Source organism: Homo sapiens, chromosome 10 (genome assembly GCF_000001405.40).
Source record: "Homo sapiens chromosome 10, GRCh38.p14 Primary Assembly".
NCBI lineage: Eukaryota > Metazoa > Chordata > Mammalia > Primates > Hominidae > Homo > Homo sapiens.
Genome location: NC_000010.11, coordinates 47,246,146 through 47,268,822, shown reverse-complemented (window position 1 = coordinate 47,268,822; position 22,677 = coordinate 47,246,146). Strand labels below are relative to the sequence as shown.

Genomic DNA, 22,677 nt, shown 5'->3' with positions numbered 1-22,677 from the left:
TCGCTTCGTCCCTTTTGGAGTAAGGCACTTACACAAGTCCTTAGCAGTAACTCACGTCCCTGAATCCAGAGCGTCTTCTCTCCAGGTTCCCCAGGACGGATACCGCGAGTGATCTGAGGGCTCTGGGAAGAAACTCACCTGGTTCTGCTGGGTATGGAGAGGATAGGAGAATGCATTTTTTCTTATTCAGAGTTCCACAAAACCTCTGTTTTTAGCTCCACATCTCATTCTCACCTTTATCGTTCCTGGAACCTCCAATTCCAGAGCCCTTACAAGGTGTTACTGAGCCAGATTGCAGGCTTCTTACTGTCTTCCTTGCTGTAGGCTTAGCTTTCACCTTTCTAACTTCTCCAAATTTTGACATCTCTTATCCGCTGCCACCTCTATTTTTCTTTTCTCCTTCATAGATTTATGGATTTTAATTCCATTTAGCCATTTTACTGGAATTTTGGGAAATAAGTGGACACAATGCCACTTTTATCTGCTATGTTTGCTTGAAGACAACACCATGCTATTTTACTGGGCCTCCATTTTCTCCTCCTTAATGTGAGGGTTAATGGCACTATGGTGAAATGAACTCAGGACCACAGCCAGGTGTGGAGGAGACAGGACAAGATGAGAAGGTAAACGTACCTAGTTTGGATTCCCGGCTCCACTGCATACTGCCTAGGTGAGTTTGAGCAAGTTGCTCACCCTTCGTGAGCCTCAGTTTCCTCAGTAGTAAAATGGAGGTGTTCATACTGCTTCTACCCAGTTCCACAAGGCATATAGTAGGTGTTCGCTCTATGCTATTTTTCTTTCCCTAAGGGAATGCATAAACCGGCAGTCTCAACACTATCATGGAGAAATTTGTTATACGTGGCAATTATGGCAATGGAATCCAAATGAGTGTCTGAAGCAGGGCAGAGTCCAGTGAGAATTTTTCCTAAGCAAAGTCTCTCCCACTCCTCTGCCCTGTTGCTCAGGGGTGGAAGCAGATTCCAGACTCACTATCTGAACTCTGGGGGCCATCAGGAGATTTCCGGCAAAGCTGGGCTTTTTTCCATGCACAAGCAGGAGCCCATAGGTCTGAGTACCATGGGGGCAGGAGGGAGGCAGCAAGGAGCCCTTTCCTTCGTGTGTCTTGGTGTGGGGGTGGGTGGGGGTGGGTTGCCCACTGGGTGGCAACTGATAACAGACCTTTTAGGCAGAGAACAGGAGTTCCTTGAAATCTTGAGAGTTGAGAGATTCCAGAAAGACCTTGCCATCCAGAAGAAGTGATACATGAGGTTCCAAATATGCATGTTCCCTGGGTCATTTTTTTGCTTAGCTGCATGCATGTGAGATGTGAGCCTTATGTCACAAGGGTTCCAATGGTGTGATGCATCTTAGATCTTGTCCTGGTTCTGCCAGGAATTTGGGCCAGCCACTTCCTCCCTCTCTGAGCTTAGTTTTTTCATTTGTAAGAAGGGCAAATACACAGCAAGTGCACTTCTCATGTGCACAGCTCCAGTGATATCTGGTGTACTTTCCAAATCTTCAGATGTGTTTGGAACACTGAGCTTATTATATATCCATCTTCAGGTTGACCCAGTGGAAGATTCTGCAGGTAATTATTTTGCTGATGGCTTTTAATCCCTTAACAGACAGATATTCTTTCTGGGACCATGACACTGTTGTGGCACAAGTCTGTGGGGTCTGGAAGCATACCCATTGTCAAAAACATCCTCTTTTGGTGGTGATAACAGAAAAATAGTAGTGATGATGGAGAAACACAGAGATGTTTGCCAAGTCCTGCCAGGTGCAAGTCATCTCATCATCCTGACACAGGATTGCCAGTGTCTCCGTGATCAGTAAATGGGACACATGTGGCACTTGTGCCTCTCTGTCATGGGGCCAGACCCTTGGGAAGAGTGAGGAAATCATTTATCCTGTGACGGTCAATGTGAGAAGAGATGGAGGTGAGAGTGAGAGGACAGAGGGAGACCTGATCAGGTGACCATCTGCCTCCTTTTCTGGTCAGTGATGCTCCTTCAATGCTGACTACCTGGGGCTGAGAACACACATGGCCAGTCAACTCTCTGGGTCCTCCATCCATGAGCTTCGTCATGAGACACCCCGAGGATAGACATTACCTCCCATGCAGCACCATGGGGGATGCTCGGTCCCCTGGAGAATGGCCAGATTTCTCTGGGGCTTTGTGAGGACTCCTGTGGACAGGGCAAGATGAAGCTTGGACCAACAGCTGCATCATGGAGCCAGCACCTCCACCCCCAGGCAACTTTCTGTGGATTATGAGTCTTTAAATTCCATTGAGTCCCATCAACATGGGATACTTTGCAGGGAGAGGCTTCTTCTGTGACCTCCCATGAGCCAAGTACATACTCATGGAAGGGCTGTTGACTTGGTTTCAGCCTGAAGTTATTTTGTAAAGCAAAAAAATAGTGATCAAACACATCCATTCATCAGTGACAGTTTGGGAAATGTCAAATAGAAAGGAAAACATAATTCTCATTCCCATCACACAAAGTTAAAGCCCATTTTGATGCTGTTCCATTCTTGACTTTTCCTGTGGATGTTTTTGTCCTTTTACACAGCTGTGATGATACAATTACACGCTTTTTTTCTCTTTTTCAACTTTTATTTCAGGTTCAGGGGGTATATGTGCAGGTTTGTTAAATTACGTGTTGCTGGAGTTTGCTGTACAAATAATTTCATTACCCAGCTAGTGAGCATAGTACCTGATAAGTAGTTTTTTGACCCTCACCCTTCTCCCAACCTCCACCCTCAAGTAGGCCTCCGTGTCTGTTGTTTCCAACTTTGTGTCCACATGTATTCAATGTTTAGCTTCTACTTATAAGCGAGAACATGTGGTATATTGTTTTCTGTTCCTGTGTTAATTCACTTAGGATAATGGCCTCCAGCTGCATCCATGTTGCTGTAAAGGACATGATCTTACGCTTTTTTACAGCTGCATAGTGTTTTATGGTACATGTGTACCATATTTTCTCTATTTAGTCCACTGTTGATGAGCATTTAGGTTGATTTCATGTCTTTGCTATTGTGAATGGAATTGCACTCTTTCATATCATGATTTTATATTTTTTACTGGATGCATAAACATATTCCCATGTGCTTATAAATTTTTCCTACAGATCGTGGCTGAGGACATACAGTAGATTAATTGGCCAATCCTCTATTTTTGGTTAACTGGTCTATTGTAAGCTTCGGCTGTTATGAATAATACTGAAGTCACCATTTTTGTGTATTTTTTGAAAACCCAGGATCAATTCTTTAGGGTCATTCCCAGAGTGGAGTACATACACGTTTAAGTTCTTGGTTTCCTAAGGGAGAGGCCAACCTTAGGATTCCAATTTCCATGTGCCCAAGGAGAGCAGCATGAGTTCTCTGCTCACAAAACTCCTTGTCCAAGACCAGCAGATTGGTCTGAGTCTGACTATGAGCTATATTACTAGCCTCCTCCTCCCCTCCCCGCTTCCCCTCTATGTTCCTCTCTTGGTGAGGGCTGTGGGCAGCAGTGGTCTGTGGGGGCCCTGAAGAACATTCTGGGCTGGGGGTGCTTCCTTAGGCTTAAACAATTCCACTGGAAGCTATTGCCCCTGAGCATGCTGGTCCCGGCCTGTGGAAAGCCTGTCAGGCCAACACACGTGAGCAGCCTTTGTTCCCCAGTGTGGCCCCACAGAAACAGAGTGACTAATGAGGGTTCCTTCCTGTCTCTTCAAAGTTCAGCAGGGGCTCCCAGGTTCAAAGGACGGTGTCTGACTCACTTTTTCCCATTCCCCAAAGGCAACTGCAACTGAACAACACTGAAAACACCTCCTACCCTGCCCAAACAGACCCCATCCTGGGGGGATTACTTAGTCCAGGGCCCAGGCAGAGCTGGCAAAAACAACAGCATCCCCACCAGGGATAGGCACATGCTGCTTTGGGAAGGATGCCTCCTCTCCAGCCCAGAGGCCCCCCGGGGGCGTCAGACTCTTCTTCCAACCTGCCTCCGGCTTCGTCCTTCCTCTTCAGTTGTTGCATATTCTACTGTTGGCTTTAATTTTCCTTTGTATATGAGCACTGGAGAGAGGGCTGGTCTGGGAGTCCCCATGCCTGATGGTGAGGCCAGGAGCCTGTGGTCACCAGGGCTTGGTCAAGGACTGGGAAAGTGAACTTTACTAGAGGAGGACACATTTTTCAGGAGAAAGGAAGGTTCCAAGCCAACTTTGCAACCTCACAGACTTGGCTGTGTAGCTGAGCTTCATGGGAAGGTCCCAGTGTTGTCATGCAAGAATTGTGGCTGCACTTCCATACCCATGGTTGGAGGTCCACCCTCAACAAAGACTTCCATGCTGGAGCACGGGTGACAACTACTTGGCCACCATTAGAGGCACATACCACAGCCTAGCAAAACAATCTGTTGCATTTGTGGACCACTTTGTTCTTTTCACTTACTTCGAATCTTTTTAGAAATAAAGAAGGACTTAGGTAAATAATTATCCTCTTTCTTATGGGAACAAATCGTCTGTCTCCCAGAAGAGTCCACCCACTGTCCATTCTTCCACCCAAAGGAGCCAGCAGAGCAAGGTGAGAACTTTCTTTGCATGCAATGAGTCCAATGTTTAGATGTCCCAAGTGTCTGTCTTCTTTCCGGATTAAACACTTCTCTTCCTTCACTTGTTTCCACATGACCTGGATCCTACCTGCTCACTCTTCCTAGGACGAGTCCCTTTCCCTCATAGAATGTGGGTGGAAAACTACACAAGTCTTCAGTCCAACCCCCAGCACCCCAGGGGAGCTACTGGTACTCATGCTCTGGATACCCTGTGCCTCCAGACTCCATCACACTCCAGCCTTGCGGAGTGTGGGCAGCCACAGCCCACCATGCTCTTAGACCCAGTTTACACTCAGTGAGTATCCCCAGGTGTTTAATATGAATATCTGGGCTACTACATCAAGACACTGGTCTTCTCTCCATATTCAAGTTTTCTTGATTGTATTTTATCTCAAGTCTATTTAGAAGACTGGCACTGAAGAGACCAATCATCTCCAACAAATCTCTATGATCACGACATAAAATGTAATTCCTGGAGTTGCTGCCAGGCATAGTGACGCTTGTGAACTGGGAGGTGTGAAGATCCACATGGACCTTCCAAGGTATGTGTGAGAGATGGGGAGGATGGGAGTGGAACAAGCTCTGTGCAGCTGGGACTTGTTTACAAAACACACAGCATTGCATCAATATTGACCCATCACAATTCCCTACTGATTAAGGACATAAACCATGTTGCAGAGGAAGCTTTAAAGAAATGCAAGCAGGTACCTTGAAAAGATGTTCCCCCAAAAGTAAACTTTTCAAACAGAATAATATTGACAACTTTCTCGGTGTTCCTTGACTTCTTCTCACTGTCTGTGCTGCTCAGAGCTCCATCTTTACAAAGCCACTAGCCTTGCAGCTGGTGCTGATTAGGAGAGCGTTGACAGCATGGTTTTCTCTTCCTACTAACTATGGGGTTGGAAGCAAACATTGATTGAGTTTTTACTAGGTAGCAAACTCCTGCTAGGCATTCTACATACTTGATTCCACCACCACTGGTAGTCTTCACTATAACACTGTGAAATATGCTCTTTTCTCCATTTCATTTACAGGAAAGCTGAGGGTCACAGAGGTGAAGTCATTTGCCTATGTTGACAAAGCTGGTCATGACATAGTTTGGATGGGAATGCAGAGCTTCTTGATTCAAAAGCCCATGCTTTGTCTACTGCTTCAGACTTTAGACCAGTGCTGTCCAATAGAAATAGAAGGCAAGCCACAAATATGAAGCAAATGTGTCATGTCGTATTTTCTCATAGCCACATTGAAAAAGAGAAAACCAGATAACATTAAGTTTAATCGTATGTGCTATTTAACTTAATGGATCCAAAACATTAGTATTTTAACATGTAATCAATATAAAAATTATGACTTTTATATTCTGTTTTTGTTGTAAGTCTGGAATCCGTTGTGTAATTTGCATGTGCAGCACATCTCAATTAGGACTGGCCACATTTCAAGTGCTTAGTAGCCACATGTGGTAGTTGGCTACCATATTAGACAGCTCAGCTATAAAATATAAAAATAGCTGCTTTGTTTTTCTCTCCTAGATATTCTTTAAAGAGAATTATTTTTTAATGTTTTTCATTGCATTTGAATGTTGTAAGAAAGTCAATGAATTATTAATGAGTAAGAATAAAAATAGATTTTTACTCAAATTATTCTGCTCAGGCTGCCATAACAAAAATCCTACATACTGGGTGGCTTAAGCAACAGAAATTTATTTTCTCATAGTTCTGGAGGGTGGGAGTGTGAGATCAGGTGCCAGCATGGTTGGGTTTGATGAAGGCTCTCTTCCTGGCTTGCAGACAGCCGCCTTCTCACTGGGTCTTCAGGTGGTGGAGAGAGAAAGGTGTGGTATCTCTTTTTATTAAAGCTCTAATCCCATCGTGAGGGCCTTCACTCAGACTTCATCTAACCCTAATTACCTCCCCAAGTCTCCTCCAAATACAATCACCACTGCAGGCTAGGGCTTTAGGGCTTCAACATAGGAATTTGGGGGAGACGCAAACATTCAGTTTACAACATCACTGAATAAAACACAAGGTAAGAAAATTTCTCACAGTGCTCAGTGATGCAAAATGTCCTGGGGTAACCTCTGAGGATAATGTAGAAACTTCCGTTAGTGTGTATTGTGAGGCCAGCATGTTGCAGGTATGCCCCTGCAAAGTAAAGATTTCCATGAAAACCCTACTCTTTACAAATCTACAGTCATGTTTTCCTTAATTCTTATATCAAAGGAGGCATCTTTAACCCAGTTTTTAAGACTCAGACATGGAGGTTCTGAGATTGAGTGATATCTGGAATTTCTACAGAATATATTTGGAACCCAAGACACAAAGGTAGACAGAGCAGGAGCCAGGTCCTCCCCCACAGCCTTCTGAGCCCAGGCTGTCTCCTATGGCCAGTGCCTGCTGCTTTGCTTGGGAACAGTTGCTGATGGCATGTTGCTATCTCCCATGGGAACTGAGGTCAGCCTGGACCCTGTTCTACATACATTTGTCTTTTTGTCCTTTTCAAGTAGCACGGAGCTTTAACAGGTTTTGGTTTATTATGTGAGCCAAGTGCTTGGTGGCTTGGCCAGCGGTCCTCTATGCTGATGCCCAGAGAGACAGGATCTCTTTGCACATGGTGGGGGATTTCTAGAGCGAGATGGCTGGGGGGCAGGGTGGGGGTGGGGCGGGAGCGGGGTGCGGAGGCAGGCATTTGAACAGGTCCCCCTTTTGTTGTGATTTGTATTGCTAGTTTCTTTCCACTGGGTCTTGTGGTGTCTCTTGAGAGTGGCCGTGAGCCCAGACAGCCACTCTCTAGTGGAGCTCTGATGGGGGAAATTAGGTTCAGGTGTGTGTGTCAGGTTAGACACAGTGAAGAAGTGAAACCAGAATGCATGAAACAGGGAAAACATTTCACTCACAGGCCTCACAGCAGATGGTTGCACACTAGAGGCCTACAGGAAGTCAGGAGGTGGCAGGCAGCTTACCCAGTGGGTGAGGAAGAGAGAACACTTGTGGGACTCTGCTTTTATTAAGACTCATGGGCATTATCCTTAGGCTTTCCTTTGGGGTTGTGGACTGACTGGTTTAAAGAAAACACTCTTGAAGTGGGGACTTATTTTCCTGACTCTGGCATGACCATTTGGTGTTATTATGGTCAGGTATTGGATTTTGGGTCAGTGGGATGAGGAACAGCCACACGGGGAGAGGAAGTTCTGAGTCTAAAGGCGACTGGGTACAACTGAGTTCCAAACAGCTTATGTCAGGCATAAAAATGGATGCTGAGGCAGCGATTATATTAAACAAATTTATGACAATCTTGTTATTGAAGCTGCTGTTCCTTCTTTTCTACATCCTTCAAACCTTCACTAGAGACTATCTCTGTGAGACCCCAGCTGGGTCAAAGGTGCACAGCGATGGAGTGGCAGATCCCTGCTCTCAGCTACCATAGCATGGCCACAGGATGAGGAGAGAGGCAGACACACTCTGAAATCAGGACACGCGTCAGCAAGCATTGGCTTATCAGCAAACGACAGCAGACAAGAGCTCCTGGGGCTCTGGGGAAATGCTGCTGCCTGCTGGCCAAACGAACTGATGGATGGGCTCTTGGAGTGGGAGAGACTGGGCAGAAGCTGTGTGGGGTGGGTGACTCCCAACCTAAAGAACCCACTGAGACATATGTGGCTTCCCTCTTCCACCTTCATTGCCTCTTTCCGTCTAGATGCTGGCAAGGGGGGACTTGGTGGACAAAGAGAGCTACTATTCATTCAGGAGCTATGTTACACCAGTCACTTTACATGTGCCACTTGCTCTGGGTTAAACTGTGCCTCCCCTCACTCATATGTTGAAGTCCTAACCCTAACTACCTCAGAATGGGACGTTATTTGGAAATAGGGTCATTACAGGTCATTAAGGTAGGCTGATAATCCAATATGACTGGAGTCCTTATAAAAAGGGGAAATTTGGACACAGACAAACATAGAAGGAAAATAACATGTGAAGATAAAGGCAGAGATCCAGGTGAAGCTTCTACAAGCCTAGGAATACTAAACATTGAAATCAACCACCAGAAACTCAGAGAAAATCTTGGAACATATTCTCTCTCACAGCCCTCAGGAGGAACAAAACTTACCAGCACCTTAATCTCAAACTTCCAGCCCCCACAATTGTGCTACAATAAACGTCTGTTGTCTAAGCCACCCAGTTTGTGGTGCTGTCTTACAACAGCCCTGGGAAACAAATCCATTATTTCACTGAATCTGTAGAGCAGCTCCATGAAGAAGATAATATTGTGCCCATTTTATAGAGGAAGAAAACAAGGTTCAGGGAAGTGACTTTCCCAAAGTTATGGTTTGAAACCAAATCTGTCTCACACCCAAGCCCACTACATCCTCGTCTTCCAGCCGGGATTTGCCTTCAGCCTTGGTGTCAGCACTCAAGTGGGGGGCAGGCAGATTAGTCCCTCAGGAAAGCACTTGTTTCTTGGAAGTACAGTCTCCTGTAGGTTCTGAAAGGCAGGCTGATCCACTGGAAACAGGAGCCATGTATCACGTTTCAGAAATCCAGCTCCTAGACAAGCCCCCTCAACCCGTCCCCCTGAGCCCTGCCCAGAAAGCTCCCAGCATGGACAATGTGCATTTAGCTCAGGCCTCCTCCTGACGGAGCTATGCTCCTGCCTCAAAAGCCACCTCAGATGGAAGTCCCCTCTTGGATGACAGAAATGCCCACTGACACAGACATGCAAATGTTCCATTGGAGGTTCCTGAGTTTCACCCAGTCCTGTTATAGGCAGGCATATCTTTTCACCTGCTCTATGAAATGGAATGGAAAGTGGAGCCGAAAGGCAGTTGTATTGACCCTGCCTTTCATTCACTTTGGCTCCATAAATCAAAGAGCAGTCATGCAGTCAGGCCCCCAGTAATATTCCTTCAGGATGTGCCGCAGGCATGGTAGATTGTACTTACTGGGTCAAATAAATACCTTTTCATCTGTCCGTAATATAGGTAGCTATATTACTCTTTGCAGTGTTTCTCCTATTAACTTGATCTAGGCTCTGGAGTGATTTTCCTGAAGCCATGGGATGAAACCAGGCATGTTTCATGCCTCCTCCTGTCCTTCTTCAACTCCCCTAGCAGGAAGGCATAGGGCACAGCCCAAGGTCCAGCCTACACCAAGACTAGCTAGGACCCCCAGCAGGTTCACAAGGATTCAGGACAAACGAGAAACACTGCTACTAATTTACCATGAAAGGTGTATCCCATGGACTCCAATTCCTTTTTACTTTTAGTTTTGCTTAGAAACTGGAAAAGCAAAACATGCTGGTTTTACAATATTGCTTGTTACAGAGGTATATAAAGTCTAACTTGAACGTACCCACCTCCTTGCAATTCAAACAAATTTAAAAGAGAAATTGAATCATACCATATAGAGTGCTTTGCAATCACCTTTTCACTAAGGAATAAACCAGCCGGGCGAGGTGGTGCATACCTGTAATCCCAGAATTTTGGGAGGCCAAGGTGGGAGGATCGCTTGAGCCCAGGAGTTTGAGACCAGCCTGGGTAACATAGCAAGACCCCATCTCTACAAAAATTAGCTTGGCTGGGTGGACATGCCTGTGGTCCCAGCTACTGGGGAGGCTGAGGTGAGAGGATCACTTGAGCCCAGGAGGCAGAGTTTATAGTGAGCCGAGATCATGGCACTGCACTCCAGCCTGGGCACCAGAGTGAGATCCTAACTCAAAAAAAAAAAAAAAAAGAATAAACCAAACCAAGGAGCCTTTTAGATCAGTAAATATAGTTCCATTAAACACTTTTTACTTCCTCCTCAGTTTTCCATATTTTGTTTTGTTCCATATTTTGGTTATTTTGGAAGTAAATATTATCCCCTGTTGATACTATTTAGATTGCCTACACTTTGGGGCTGCTATAAATAAGTCAGCTATTAATATTTTCATGCTTTTGTGCAAGTATTTCTATTAAGATAAATACTGAGAAATAACATTTTTGAGTAGAGAAAACTCTCACCTCGAATGCTGGGAGATACCCTTCAATTCAGCTGAAAATGTCACCTCTTTGCATTGTCCAGTGCTTTGTAAGAGACCCCATTTTCCCACCCAGTCACACCTTGGATATTATGTATCATTTATGTATTTTTGTGCTAACCTAAAGGGAAAAATGGAATTTCATTTTTTCCATCTGAAGATTTGTGAGAATGAGCATCTTATTCTATGTTTACCAGCCTTCCTCTTTCTTCTGTGCTGTGACCCTTAAGAACTTGGCGCTTTCACTTTTCCTATTGAGTTGTTTCAAGTTTTGTGGTTAAATTAGTCAGTCTTCTGCTTTTAAAACAATATTTCTGGTTTCCTGCCTTGCTTACAAAATACTTCCTTTACTCAAGATTGGAAGACTCATTGTCCCAGAGTTCTTGGTTGTAAGCAATAGAAACTTACTTTATTAAACATAGGCAGCAAAGAGACTTAGAAGGATAACGGATGTCTTAGTAAGAGATTGTAGTGTTTAGAAGCAACCCTTGGACAAAAGGCCAGGATAGAGGGATGCCAGAGAGCCAAAAACAAGCCAAATGGTGCCACTGGAGACATTGCCCTGGACGCTTGCTGCCAAGAGGCTGTTCTGATTCTGCTGCTATTGTCTACACTAGACTCTGGGTGCTGGGTGCTGCCATCCTACCATCACCTCCACCACCTGCTCCTCCACCACCACCCCCATAACACCAGCACCTCCCGCCACTTCCCCTCCATCCCCTCCTCTGGCATCTCCACCATCACCATCACCATAACTAGAGTGAATTCTAAAGTATCCCCTGATTCTTTGCAGTATGAGTTTCAGATTCAGAATCCTCAGTGGGAGTCTTTAATTGTTCATACGCAAGCTTTCACTGTCAAGAGTCAAGGAGAAAAATCTAATATTTGTGTTCATTTGGGGGGAATTGGTATCCTAATAATATTAAGTCCTCCCATCTAGGAACATGGTATTGTTACCAAGCGATCAATGGGCTTGGTGTCCAATTCACATAGAGGCCAATGCCATGGCACCAGCTTTTGAGAAAAGAAAAACAGCAATAAAGCTGCTTAATGGGCAAGAAGGCAAGAGAAAACTCTCAAACCTGTCTCCTCGAGCAGGGGTTTGGGTCAGGCTTTATAAGCATAGGGTAATGAGGTGTGATCTGATTGGATCTTGCAATGAGGTGGTGCCAGGAGGCATGATCTTACTGGATCCTGCCATGGGGTGATACCAGAGCTTCCTCTGATTGGATCCTGGCTCCTGCCAGGCAGTGTCTGCTTCTCAGTTCAGTCCCAATTTCTCAGTCCCAGCCCTGAGGTTCCTCCTGTGGCTGTCCATTTGGTTCGCCTGAGCACGCTCAGATTACATCACCTTCAATCTGGGGGCCCATGGTAACCTGAAAACAACTCACAACTTGGTTTCATAAAAGTTGAACCACATAGGTGTGATGAAGTTACAGTAGGTGCTAAAATCTCCCACTGTGATTGTGAGACTGTCAAATTCTAGGTTTTGGAATTTCAACAATGTAGTCACAGTAAGTTTCGTTAATGAGATGCCAGTCTTACTTATTAGTAGGTGATGATGTTTTCTGTCTCATGTTTCTGATTTTCTCTTTATTCTTCATGTTTTAAAATGTTAGATGGTTTTATTTTTTCATTAATCCTAACAAGATATGTGAGTCACTTTAATCTGAAGTTCTTTCTCCTTGTCTTCTTACCCTACGTTCTGACAGATTTCCTTGACTTTATCTTTCAGTTCATTTACTGATGATCACTTTGAAGACAGGAATTGGTGGGTCACACTTATAATGTCTAAGAAGATGTATTGCCAGAAGATTCTTTAATGAATGTATACGTTTCCTGAATTTCTGAGAACAGCAATTAGAGTGCTTTAAAAGTTTTCCTTAGTTCATCGCGTCATCTAGGTGCTTCGTGCCTCTTCCCTCTGCCCTTCCCAGTCTTCACGGCTACATGCTGACTGGCTCTTCTGCCTGGTGCACCCTTGTTTGAGAACTGGGCTGGTTCTTCCAGATGGCTGCTACAGTGGGTTAGTTCCTGCAGTCCTCTTCTCCAGGAGGCTTCTGAGGGCTGAGCTGACTGCTTGGAGCTCTGGGTACCTGGGCTCATCCGCTGGCAGCCCTGCCTAGGGTGTGCAATGGACAGCTGGTCTTGAGGTGGAAGGCATGGCTGCTAAATCAGTAGTTGATGTCAGAAGGCAGGACAGTTCATGTTCACCTGCATCTCCTCCAGCCCCTCCAGCTGACCTGGGCTGTGCCTGGCTGCCAGAGGAAGGCCCCTTTTCCTGTATCCATTTGTTCAGAGGAGCTGACAAATGGCTTCCTCTGAGTTCCCAATTTCTGCTGGGATTTTCCATTCCATCCTCTGGCCTGTGCCAGTAGTAACATTTTACACTTGTCTGACACCTTTTCTCCTCTGAGCTCCAAGCACTTTACAAGCAAGCAGTTGCTATTATTGCCCTCTGAATTCTGATGGAAAAGCTGAGAGTCATGGGATCAAAGCCGCCATGATTGGGCAGTGAAGACAAGGCTCCCAGACACCAGGCCAGTCCCCGGCCCTTGGCAGGACCACATAGAGCACCCCAGCTGCTGAGGTGAGGTAGCCCAGGGGAGGGTTTTCAGCACGGGCTCCCTAGAGGCTCCCCAGAGCCGTCTTATCCTGTTGTAAAGTGATGCATTGTCCTTTACTGCAGAAGAGAGTGGGACCCTTGGGACTCTTCCCTGCCAGAAAAAGTGGGCTGATGGTTCGTGGTTTATTTTGGGAATGAGAAGACTCATTCAATCTGTAAAGGGTCCTCATCTTGTCTTGAGGAACAGGAAGCAGATCTGTATTACGTGGCCCAGGCAGCGGAATAAGGTTCAGTTGCTACAGGTTTTCACCAGTCAGAGGACTTGTTAGCACTGAGAGCTGCCCAAAGGGGAGTGCGTTTGCGTCCCTGGTTGGGTCCCGAGGCAAGTGTCTCTAGCTGCTGCTGGGGATGTCCTGCATCACATGATGCTAGGGAAGGGTGACACATGAGGCCTCTTCCAACCCAGATCTTGCATCATAAGGACACACTCTAGTGCTATCTCCTCTAAGTGGTGGTGGCCTTGGGGCTGAAACCCTGAAACCCTGGGTCATGTCACATCTTGCTGGATCTGCAAAGCTCCTTAGTTCCCATCTCCTCCTTCTTTCATTTAGCAAAACTCGGTTTGAGGTCTGCATTTTCCCTCTTTTGTACGAAGCTTTGCCCAGTAGCAGCTTACTGTTTAACTGGAAGGAACATCTGTGACCATGAAATTTTCAGCAACCTAAAAAGGCCCTGTTAAGTAATATTTGCTGAGCTAGTGTTGGGAGTCAGCAGTGTGTGTGTGTGTGTGTGTGTGTGTGTGTCTGTATGTCTGTGTGTGTGTGTGTCTGTGTGAATTCAGCTGCCCTCAGGCAGGTGGCTGGAAACTGGCTCACCTTTATCTGAGAACACATCAATCTTGGGAAGAGAATCCATGGAACTGAGTATGGAGGGACACCTGGCCAGAAAGAAACTGAGAACAAGTCATTCCTACCCCAGGGACCACAGAAGGAGGCAGACAGCTGGAGGAATGTGGTGTGTGTGCGTGTGTGTGTGTGTATTAGAGAGGGGTAGAGGACTATATTTTCTGGGCAGATAGAATTCTGAGCACATCTGTGTGTGTTAATGCTCACATGAAACCTTTCAAAGCTTGGAGAGATGGGTATTATGATTCTATTTTCCCAGTGAGGGATTAGAAGTCAAATAAGCTGCCCACGGCCCCAGCCCCGGCCAGAGCAGAGCTGGGATTTGAACCCAGTTAGTTGTCTTTGGCTCTGAAGCCCTTTCTCCTCTGTATCCCTGCCTGCCTTCAATGCAGGTGCCACAAATGAGGTCCCACGGACCCTGCTGACTGGCTCTGAGTCTTCCGGCTAGCCCGGCTGTCCCAGGCCCCAAGTGCTCTTTCCCAAGGGCTGGCTGCCTTGCAGGTCTCCAGAAGCCTCCGGGTCCACCCCCATGCCTCCCCAGATGCTCTAGAGAGCTCTGGGCCCAGGCCCAAGCCCAGCAGGGCAGCCCTGTGGTTTGCGATCTGGCCATGCATAGCTGGCTCTGAGCAGGCACTTATCATTCTTCCACGACCACCCAGTCAGTCTAACACAGCCTGGAAGTGCAGCTCTAGCTGCCCAGGCCGGTGGTGGCTCAGTCCTCACTGAGCCCTGCTGCTCCCACTCGCTGTCTGCCACCCCCGCTGTAGCCGGCCCCGCCTGCCCAGCTGAGCGAGAGGTCGCTGGAGCCCAGAAACAGCAGGGTCTGAGCATCCCTAGCAAACCACAAAGGGAGATTCACAAATCAAAAGGGCCCTAGAGAACAAAGCTGTCACATCAGTCCATCATGGAGTCGGATCTCAAAATATCGCCAGGCCAGAGTCCTGCCAGCTGTGAGTCACCACCCGGCCAGAGCAGCCGCAGCGGGCCCCCAGCCACATGGAAAAACACCTCGGCAGCCAGCTGGCTGCTCTCTGCCCAGACCTGGGAGGTGTAGGGTGTCTGTGGGGTGGTTCCACACCTCCATGCTGCGGTGTGGAGAGGAGTCAGCCCTGGTATGCTTGCTGTAGGAGCAGGAGGGAGGGGACAAGGGAACGGCCATATCGACGATGGCTTCTGTCTTCCTAAGGACGCAGTCCAGGCCTGCTTCATCCCTCCAACCCTGCTCCAAGCCTCTGGGATAACCAGCAGTGTGAGGCTGGTTGACGACAGTGGCTCAGCACAGCCTTTGATGTCACCCTTTTTATGCCTCCCTGTGGCCCTACACTGCTGGCCCACCTCTTCCCAGGTGATGAGAAGTTGGATTCAGGGCCTATGTAAGTCCAGCATCTCATCGCACCAATGCCTATGGCAATGCACAGACCAAGAGCCTGCACTTGGTGTGCTGAGTCCCTCTTCATGCACTGCTCCAGTTCCTACCCCAAGCCCTATCATTACACATGGTGGGGAGGGGCATGGGGGCACGCACATAGGGATCACGTCCTTTTGTAGGAGTTTAGGCATTCTCCTGACATTGCTTCTCTCTCATCCACCATCCTGAGACCTCACTCCTTCCGATCAGCATCCTTTGTTTCTCCTGGCTTTGAGGCCATGACACGTGTGTCTATAAATATGAAGTGGCCTGGATGACAAAACACAAAGTTTTGAACTGATTTTTGTTGTCAGCTCATTTTTTCCTTCTGTGCCTCATTTTCCCCACATGAAGAGTAAGACGAGATCTTACAGAGACTTTTGGTTCTAAAGGCTGAGGGTTTTAGAATTTGGGGTGCCACCTGCCACCCCTCCCTGAGCTGGAGCCATAGCATATTCTAACGGGCTTCATCTTTAGTGAACTGAACATTAATGAGGAACATTAATGTTTTATTCGGGCAAGGAGGCAACAAGGACTCAATTTAAGGGAACATGAGATGTCAGTCCCAGCCCCTTCCATTCTCTGAGCCCCCTTGCTGTCTTGTCCTTGGCGCTCTCCTCTAAACCCTGGCCTTGGGGCTACGGCCCCATCAGAGCTGAATGGGGTCACCTCTGGGCTGGGTAGAGCCTGCTGGGGCACAGATTTGAGGCTTCAGTCACCTCTTTGCCCTGCACAAATGACCAGAGCCTGCCTTGAACTTCTTTGCTTGCAGCCAGAGTCTCCTGCCCTCAGCTGGGAACTGACCAGGTGGGGGTGCAAGCTGTGATGCCGTTTTCCCCCTCTCTCCTGCTGTTCATCCCCATGCAGCCCCTCTCCACCCTGCCCACGGCCTCTGCTTGGCTGTTCTGGGCCGCTGTGTGATCATGCTTTCCTCCTTGGAGGCATTCATGCTGAAGGCATGGAGAGAACCCGAATGGCAGAGTCCTGTCCACTGTGCAGTGATCTCTGCAGACCTGGGCCAAGAGGTCCTTAGAGAGAGGGCATGGGCCTCAGCCAGCAGGATGAAGGCTGCTGAGCAGCAGCTATGCAGAACAAGCATAAGTGGTGACATCTTCCCTGTCCCAGATGCCACAGAGCGCAGGGGTGTGTCCAGATATGTATGTTCCTAGGTGGGGTGACAGAAGACCACTGGCCACCTGCCACCTACCACCCCTCCCTGAGCTGGAGCCATAACAAATTCCTGAGTACCCAGTGTCCCTCTACCCAGCAGTCAGAGTCTCTGAGAGCTCAGGTACACCTGGGTCCATTCGCAAGTTCATAGGAAAGGGCATGAGTGTTTGCTCTCCGGTGTTACATGCCTTCCAAGGAATCACTAAACTTAAGCTAGAGGAGATTTGCCTCTTATGATTGCCCATTCTTTCCCCTGTGGGTCCCCCCACCACTCACTTTATTTAGTTATCGTATTCAGTAAATACCTGTGAGGGATCTGGAATTTTCCAGTTGGCATAGACACCATGCATTAGTTTGTAGCCACCCAATTTGAGGGATCCTGAGTGTCAGAGATAACTGTGATCCTATAATTAAAAGTTCCTGCTTCCCCTTTTAAGCATAACGTAAAAATTCTGTTTAAAAAATTAAGATGAAATTCACATAACATATAATCAACTGTTTTGAAGTGCATATTTCAGTGATAATATTTAATGTGTTCTCAACACTGTGCTACCCCCAGCTGTCTAGTTTCAAAACTTCTTCCTCACCCTACAAAAACACCTGTATTAACTAAGTAATCATTCCCTATCCCACTTCCTGTCATGCCCTGGTAACCTCTAATCTGCTTCCCATCCCTGTGGTTCTACTTATTCTAGATATATCATATAAAAATAAACACAACATGTGACTTTTTGTGTCTGTCATCTTACAGCACTTAGCATAATAGCACTTAGCACTTAGTTTTCTTGGTCCACTCATGAACCTTTTCAAGATTTTTCCTTTTTTATAGCTGAATAGGATTCCATCTTATGGATTAGCCAAATTGGGCATGCTTTCATCCTTTGATGGATTTTTATGTTGTTATTCATGAATAATGCTGCTATAAACATTTATATACAAGATTTTGTGTGGACGGATGTTATCATTTCTCTTAGATATATGCCTAGGAGTGGAATTGCTATATCATATGGTAACTCTACTTTTAACTTTTTGAGGTACTGATGAACTGTTCTCCAAAATGGCTGCACAATTTTACATTTCCCCCAGCAGCATAAGTGGGTTTCAACTTCTTCACTTTTTTACCAACACTTGTTGTTGGTCTCTTCAACTCAAGCCATCCTGGTGAGTATGAAGCAGTGTCTCATAGTTTTAAGTTGTGTTTCCCCAGTGACTAACAATGTCAATCATCTTTTCATTTGCTTATTGGCCATTTATATAGCTTCCCTGGAGAATGTCTATTTAGAAATTTGCCTATTTTTAATTTTTTTATTATTAAGTTATAAGAATTCTTTATAAATTATGGATGTTAGGCCTCTATCAGATATATTATTTGCAGGTATTTGCTCCCATTCCATAGCTTGCCTTTTCATATCCTTGATAATGGTCTTTGATGCACAGCTGTTTTAAGTTTTGATAAAGTCCAATTTATCTAATTTTTCTTTTGTTGCCTATTTATTTGGTGTCATATCTAAGAATCCTTTGCCAAAACTATGATTGTTATATATTCTCATATTTTCTTCTAAGAGTTTAATAGTTTTAGCTCTTATATTTAGGTGTTGACTGATTTTGAGTTGATTTTTGAATACGCCACGAGGTAGGAGTACAAATGAACCTTTGCTTGTGGATATCGAGTTGCTCCACTTGAATGGGCATGTTTAGAGAAAGGATAAATAAATAAACTGATGTCTTTTACTAGTTAGATAAACAAAGGTGTCCATATAGAGATACATGTAAACTGGTTCACATTTTTCATGTTCAGCATTGTTGCGAAGTTATAAAATAATGTGTGTAACACTCATGTAGTTGAATAGGACCTAATGGTGCCGCCGAAGGTGAATTTAGGAGACATAAATGATTAGAATCTTTGGCAGAAAAAAGTACAGGAATCCCTCCCTTCATGGGGGCTGCACTCATCTGTGTGGCATTTTCTGTTTTGCTCTGAAGCCCTGCATGACGTCTCAGCCCACATTCACCCTGGGTGTGCCAGTGGCAACTGCCTCGTTGCTGGGTCATTGGGGCAGACAAGGCCAGCCCTCAGAGACAGCTTCTGCCCTGGGAAGGCAAAGCTGCCACCCTGGAGCATCTCCCAGGGGCCATAGTGCCTTGCATCTGGCTGCGGGGACCAGCCCTGGGTCTCTCCCTATTAGTGGAGGACTAGTCTCAGATGTCACCACCGCATGTCTGGCTATTCATCAATACAGGAGAGTGCTGAACTGAGAATGTGATTTTTTTTTATGGGTTCACATCCCAGGAACAGGGTCATGAGCTCCACTGAGCTCAGTTCTTAAATAGTCATTATCCTAGGTGGCCACCCTTGGGAGTGCCCTCTGGGACTTAAGTCCCTTCAGTGATCTCTTGCTTGATCACTTCTAATGATTGTGCTTGCTTCTCTGCTACCCACTTATGCCATCAACCAGAACAAAAAGTTCTTTCTTACTCCAGAACTTCCTCCCTTCTAACCGTCTCAATCAGTTACTTGGGACACACAACTTGAATCTCCAAGACCATCACTCTCTCTGCTTTCTCCCCACCTCTTGGATCCCCACTGCCTTCATCTGCTCCTCGCTTGCTTAGACTCTATAGATCACCACTGCAGCCACTCTCCTGCAGGTCTCTCCTGCTTTACTTTCCTTCGGTTTAGGCCCCAGCAAAACCCCAGCCATGAATTAATCCATCCACCCCTTTCTCAGCACTGATACCTGGCCTGTTTGGTGCTGCTGAAGAACATCAGACCACGTGTGTGTGTCTGGAATCAGAACCATCAGAACTCACGCTCCTCCTTCACTCTCAGCATTGCCTCACCTCCAGCCCAAAGCCATGGTGGGAGCAGCAGACACTCTCTCTTCAACCCATCTGTCAACCTCAAGATGGCTCCCTGTACCCTTGCCCTTAAGGACTACTTGCTGGGGCTTTGGTGGCACAGTTTTGCTCCTGTCATCCTCTTTATTTACCCCTTTTTGGTTGCTGGTTCCTGCCTTGCTCTTCCTTCTTGAAGAAAGAGGGAGCCCAAATTTGCCCCATTCCCTCATGTCCAGCCCCTTCCTTTGCTCACTGGCTTCTACCCCATTCTCCCAGTGAGCCACTGTAGCCCAATGATTGAGCCCCTTATGGCTGAACTCAATCCAAGGAGCATCCTCCAGCATTAAGCTCTCAGGGATTCTCTGCAACACTGGAGTGTGAACCACTTCCTCCTTGGTTTCCACAGTGACACGTCCCTTGCAGGTGCTCCCTACATTTCCCAGCATGCTTCTTCTCCGTTTCCTTTGCAGGCACCTTTTCTCTGCTGGTAGTTTAGATGTTAGGTTTTCTCTGGCCCTGTCCTTGCTCTTCCTCTCTCCTCTCCCTGGCTCACTTTGCCAACCTGGAGTCTCCCATGGTCTGGTGAAGCCTGGAGGTGGGTGACCCTTCCCAGCATGTGCTACCTGCCGTACTCTCTGTGTGGCAGCCGGGCTGGGAGCAGCTGGTGGCTCCACCAGGAGCACCATGAAGACATTGGCCTCTGGGGGTCTGGGAAGTTGACCCTTTGCACAGCAGTTCTGGGGAGGTCCCTGTGACTGTGCAGCCAGTGAAGCAGCATCATAGGCATTGCCCGAGGGCTTGTTGATCTAACTGAGAGATTGGTAGATCTAACCGAGAGCTTGGTAGGTCTTGGCTTGCTGGCTGAGAGTTTGTTAGATCTGCAGGGTCTCGGCACCCCAAGCTCCTAAACCAAATGCACGTGTTGACAAGCCCCCAGGAGTAGTGCCCATACAGCAGCATGTGAGGGGCTGCTGGGAACCAGTGTCAGCCTGCTGAGATGGGGCAGAGCCGAGAGAGAGTCAGGGAACTCAGTTTCTTAAGATGCTTTTGCTTCAAAATAGAGGCCAGGTTTCCAATGGAAATTTCATGGAAGGAGCCCTGTATTTTTTTCTAATGGAATGGAAGCTTATACTTGGTAAGCAAAAGATTCTTATTTGAAAATAACTCTTGTTCCAACTTTGTGGGCTCCCAAGGGAATCGAATTAGAGTAGAGGGGAGAGAAGCAGTAGCATCCAAGCAGCCTGGCTGTGCCTGACGCGGGTGGATCTCGGGGCTGAACTGTTCCCACCCTCAGTCTGGGGCCGGGCCTGGGCCCAACACCACTCTGGGAGAAGGAGATGAGGATTTTCTCTGAGGGGCTGTGTGCACACCCTCAGGTTCCTCCTTCCTAGAGCAGCCAAGGGTAGTGCCGTCCAGGGTACGGCATAGGCCCAGCGAGGCCTGTCCTTCCAGCCCTGCCTCCCTCTGCCCCTCAGGCCGAAGCTCGAACCCTTTGCTCACTGAACTGGGCCTGCAGAACTGGAGTACATGGGCCTGCGACAGCTGCATATGATCAAAATCACCCCTGGTTTTGAGCTGGCTCCTGAGGCCAAAAACAACAACTCCTCCTGCTGCACATGACCAGGGTGGTTTGGGTTTAGTTGGTAACTCGCCCGTCACCATCTCTGCCTCCATAATGAGCACCCCTGGGCTGGGCAGAAAAGGCCTGGGCTGTTTCAAGAAATGAGAGGCCCTCTGTGGGGCCAGTGTGTTCTGGTTCCACATTCCAAATAGAGATGATGGGGATAGAGAGGAAGTGAACTTGGGATGGCACCAGGCTCTTATGGTTTCAGACAGAAGAGAAACGACAGAACAAGAAAGCTCCTGGCAGCATCTGGAAAGGGCCAGGGTCTGGGCTTCAGTCCTGCAGCCATAGTCCAGGGTGTTGCCATGACTGGCCATCATCTCCTGACCCTTCCTGTGCAGATCCCTGGCCATGGGCACCCTCCTCCACTGCTGGGTGCCTCTCATCCACTGTTAAGCCCTATCCCTGACCTTCCAGGACAGGTGTGTCCCACATCTCCATAGGACCCTGGTGCACCAGCCCCTGGGTACTAGGCACTATCATTGTAACCGCATCTTGCCTTTCCTGTAAGACCCAGATGGCAGGCACAGAGACTCACTGCCTAGGATCCCGGTAAGAAAGTACTTGCTGCTGCCCAGATGCGGGGTGTGGTTAGCTGAGGGCTAACCTCTGGGTGCTTCCTAGCCAACGCCACTCCTCCTGGGGCCACCCCCAGGCACTGACTGAGCAGAGTGGTGGTACAAGGGCATAGCTGTTCCTGTCCAGCAGCGCCTCTCCTAATGGCAAATCCCTGCTGCAGAGCTCTCTGGTCCTGGCAGAGACCTTGTCTCAGCTGCATCCCAGCCTGGACACTCCCTGCCCCGTCCCACTCCCTGCCTTTCCTTCCTGTGTGGTACTCCCAAGACACCATTTGCACTCTTAAATCTGTCTCACCCTCTGCTGCCCAGAGAACCCAGCTGGGGCAGCCTGGCAGCACTGGGGCCAATGCAGCTTCAGCACCTGGCATGCAGCTGTCACCAAGCCCACCGGCCAGGTCAGTCTTCAGAGTAGGAAGGTGATGACTAGGCCAGAACACAGAGAGCTGCATCCTCAATGGGGACCATATTCCTGCCTTCTGGGGAGGGAGTGAGGAAGCTGGGTGATCTAGAGCCTCCTTTACCACCTAGTCTGCCTGAGGCATGCTCTGGCTGACACCACGGTTGCAGGATTCCCAGGGATGCCTGCTCAATGTTATATCCCTGAAAGTGCATCTGAGGTAGAAAAGCATGGGATAGTGTGTGCATGGGTGTGTGCATGTGCATGGAGAGGCAGCTGTGGGCAGTGGGTAGTGGGAGACCTTTGACATCCCCTTGTGGGCCTCCTAGGCTTGGGGACTGGACTTGGGAAGGGAGTCAGGGTGGATGAGTTCTGGGCCTCAGCCCAGCTCCCTTCCCAAACACAGGCAGGATGTGAGACTTTGGGAAGAACCTAGGAGGCTCTGTCCCAGGGTCAACTCCATATAGGTCCGAGTCCCTGAAGGGTGTGGTGTAAGTGGGGCCAGGAGGAAGTCTTGACCCCAGGGCCTCTCCCTGCCTGTCTTCCAAAGCCTGAAATGCCACCATTTGGGAGGCCTGC

The 22,677-nt window shown here is 47.6% G+C and overlaps 3 annotated features.

Moving 5' to 3' along the window:
* Positions 3,149–4,348: an enhancer, noted in NCBI's record as "CDK7 strongly-dependent group 2 enhancer chr10:48473688-48474887 (GRCh37/hg19 assembly coordinates)". NCBI's record gives its function as "activates an origin of replication core promoter dependent on BRD2, BRD4, P300/CBP, MED14 and CDK7 cofactors, with strong dependence on CDK7, by STARR-seq in HCT116 cells {active_cell/tissue: HCT116}" and the evidence as "EXISTENCE:reporter gene assay evidence [ECO:0000049][PMID:35650434]".
* Positions 3,732–4,231: an enhancer, noted in NCBI's record as "H3K4me1 hESC enhancer chr10:48474271-48474770 (GRCh37/hg19 assembly coordinates)". NCBI's record gives its function as "activates a minimal SCP1, AML or CMV promoter by ChIP-STARR-seq in primed H9 embryonic stem cells {active_cell/tissue: H9 hESC(primed)}" and the evidence as "EXISTENCE:reporter gene assay evidence [ECO:0000049][PMID:30033119]".
* Positions 7,239–7,288: a silencer, noted in NCBI's record as "silent region_2353". NCBI's record gives its function as "represses an Ori minimal core promoter by ATAC-STARR-seq in GM12878 lymphoblastoid cells {active_cell/tissue: GM12878}" and the evidence as "EXISTENCE:reporter gene assay evidence [ECO:0000049][PMID:35858748]".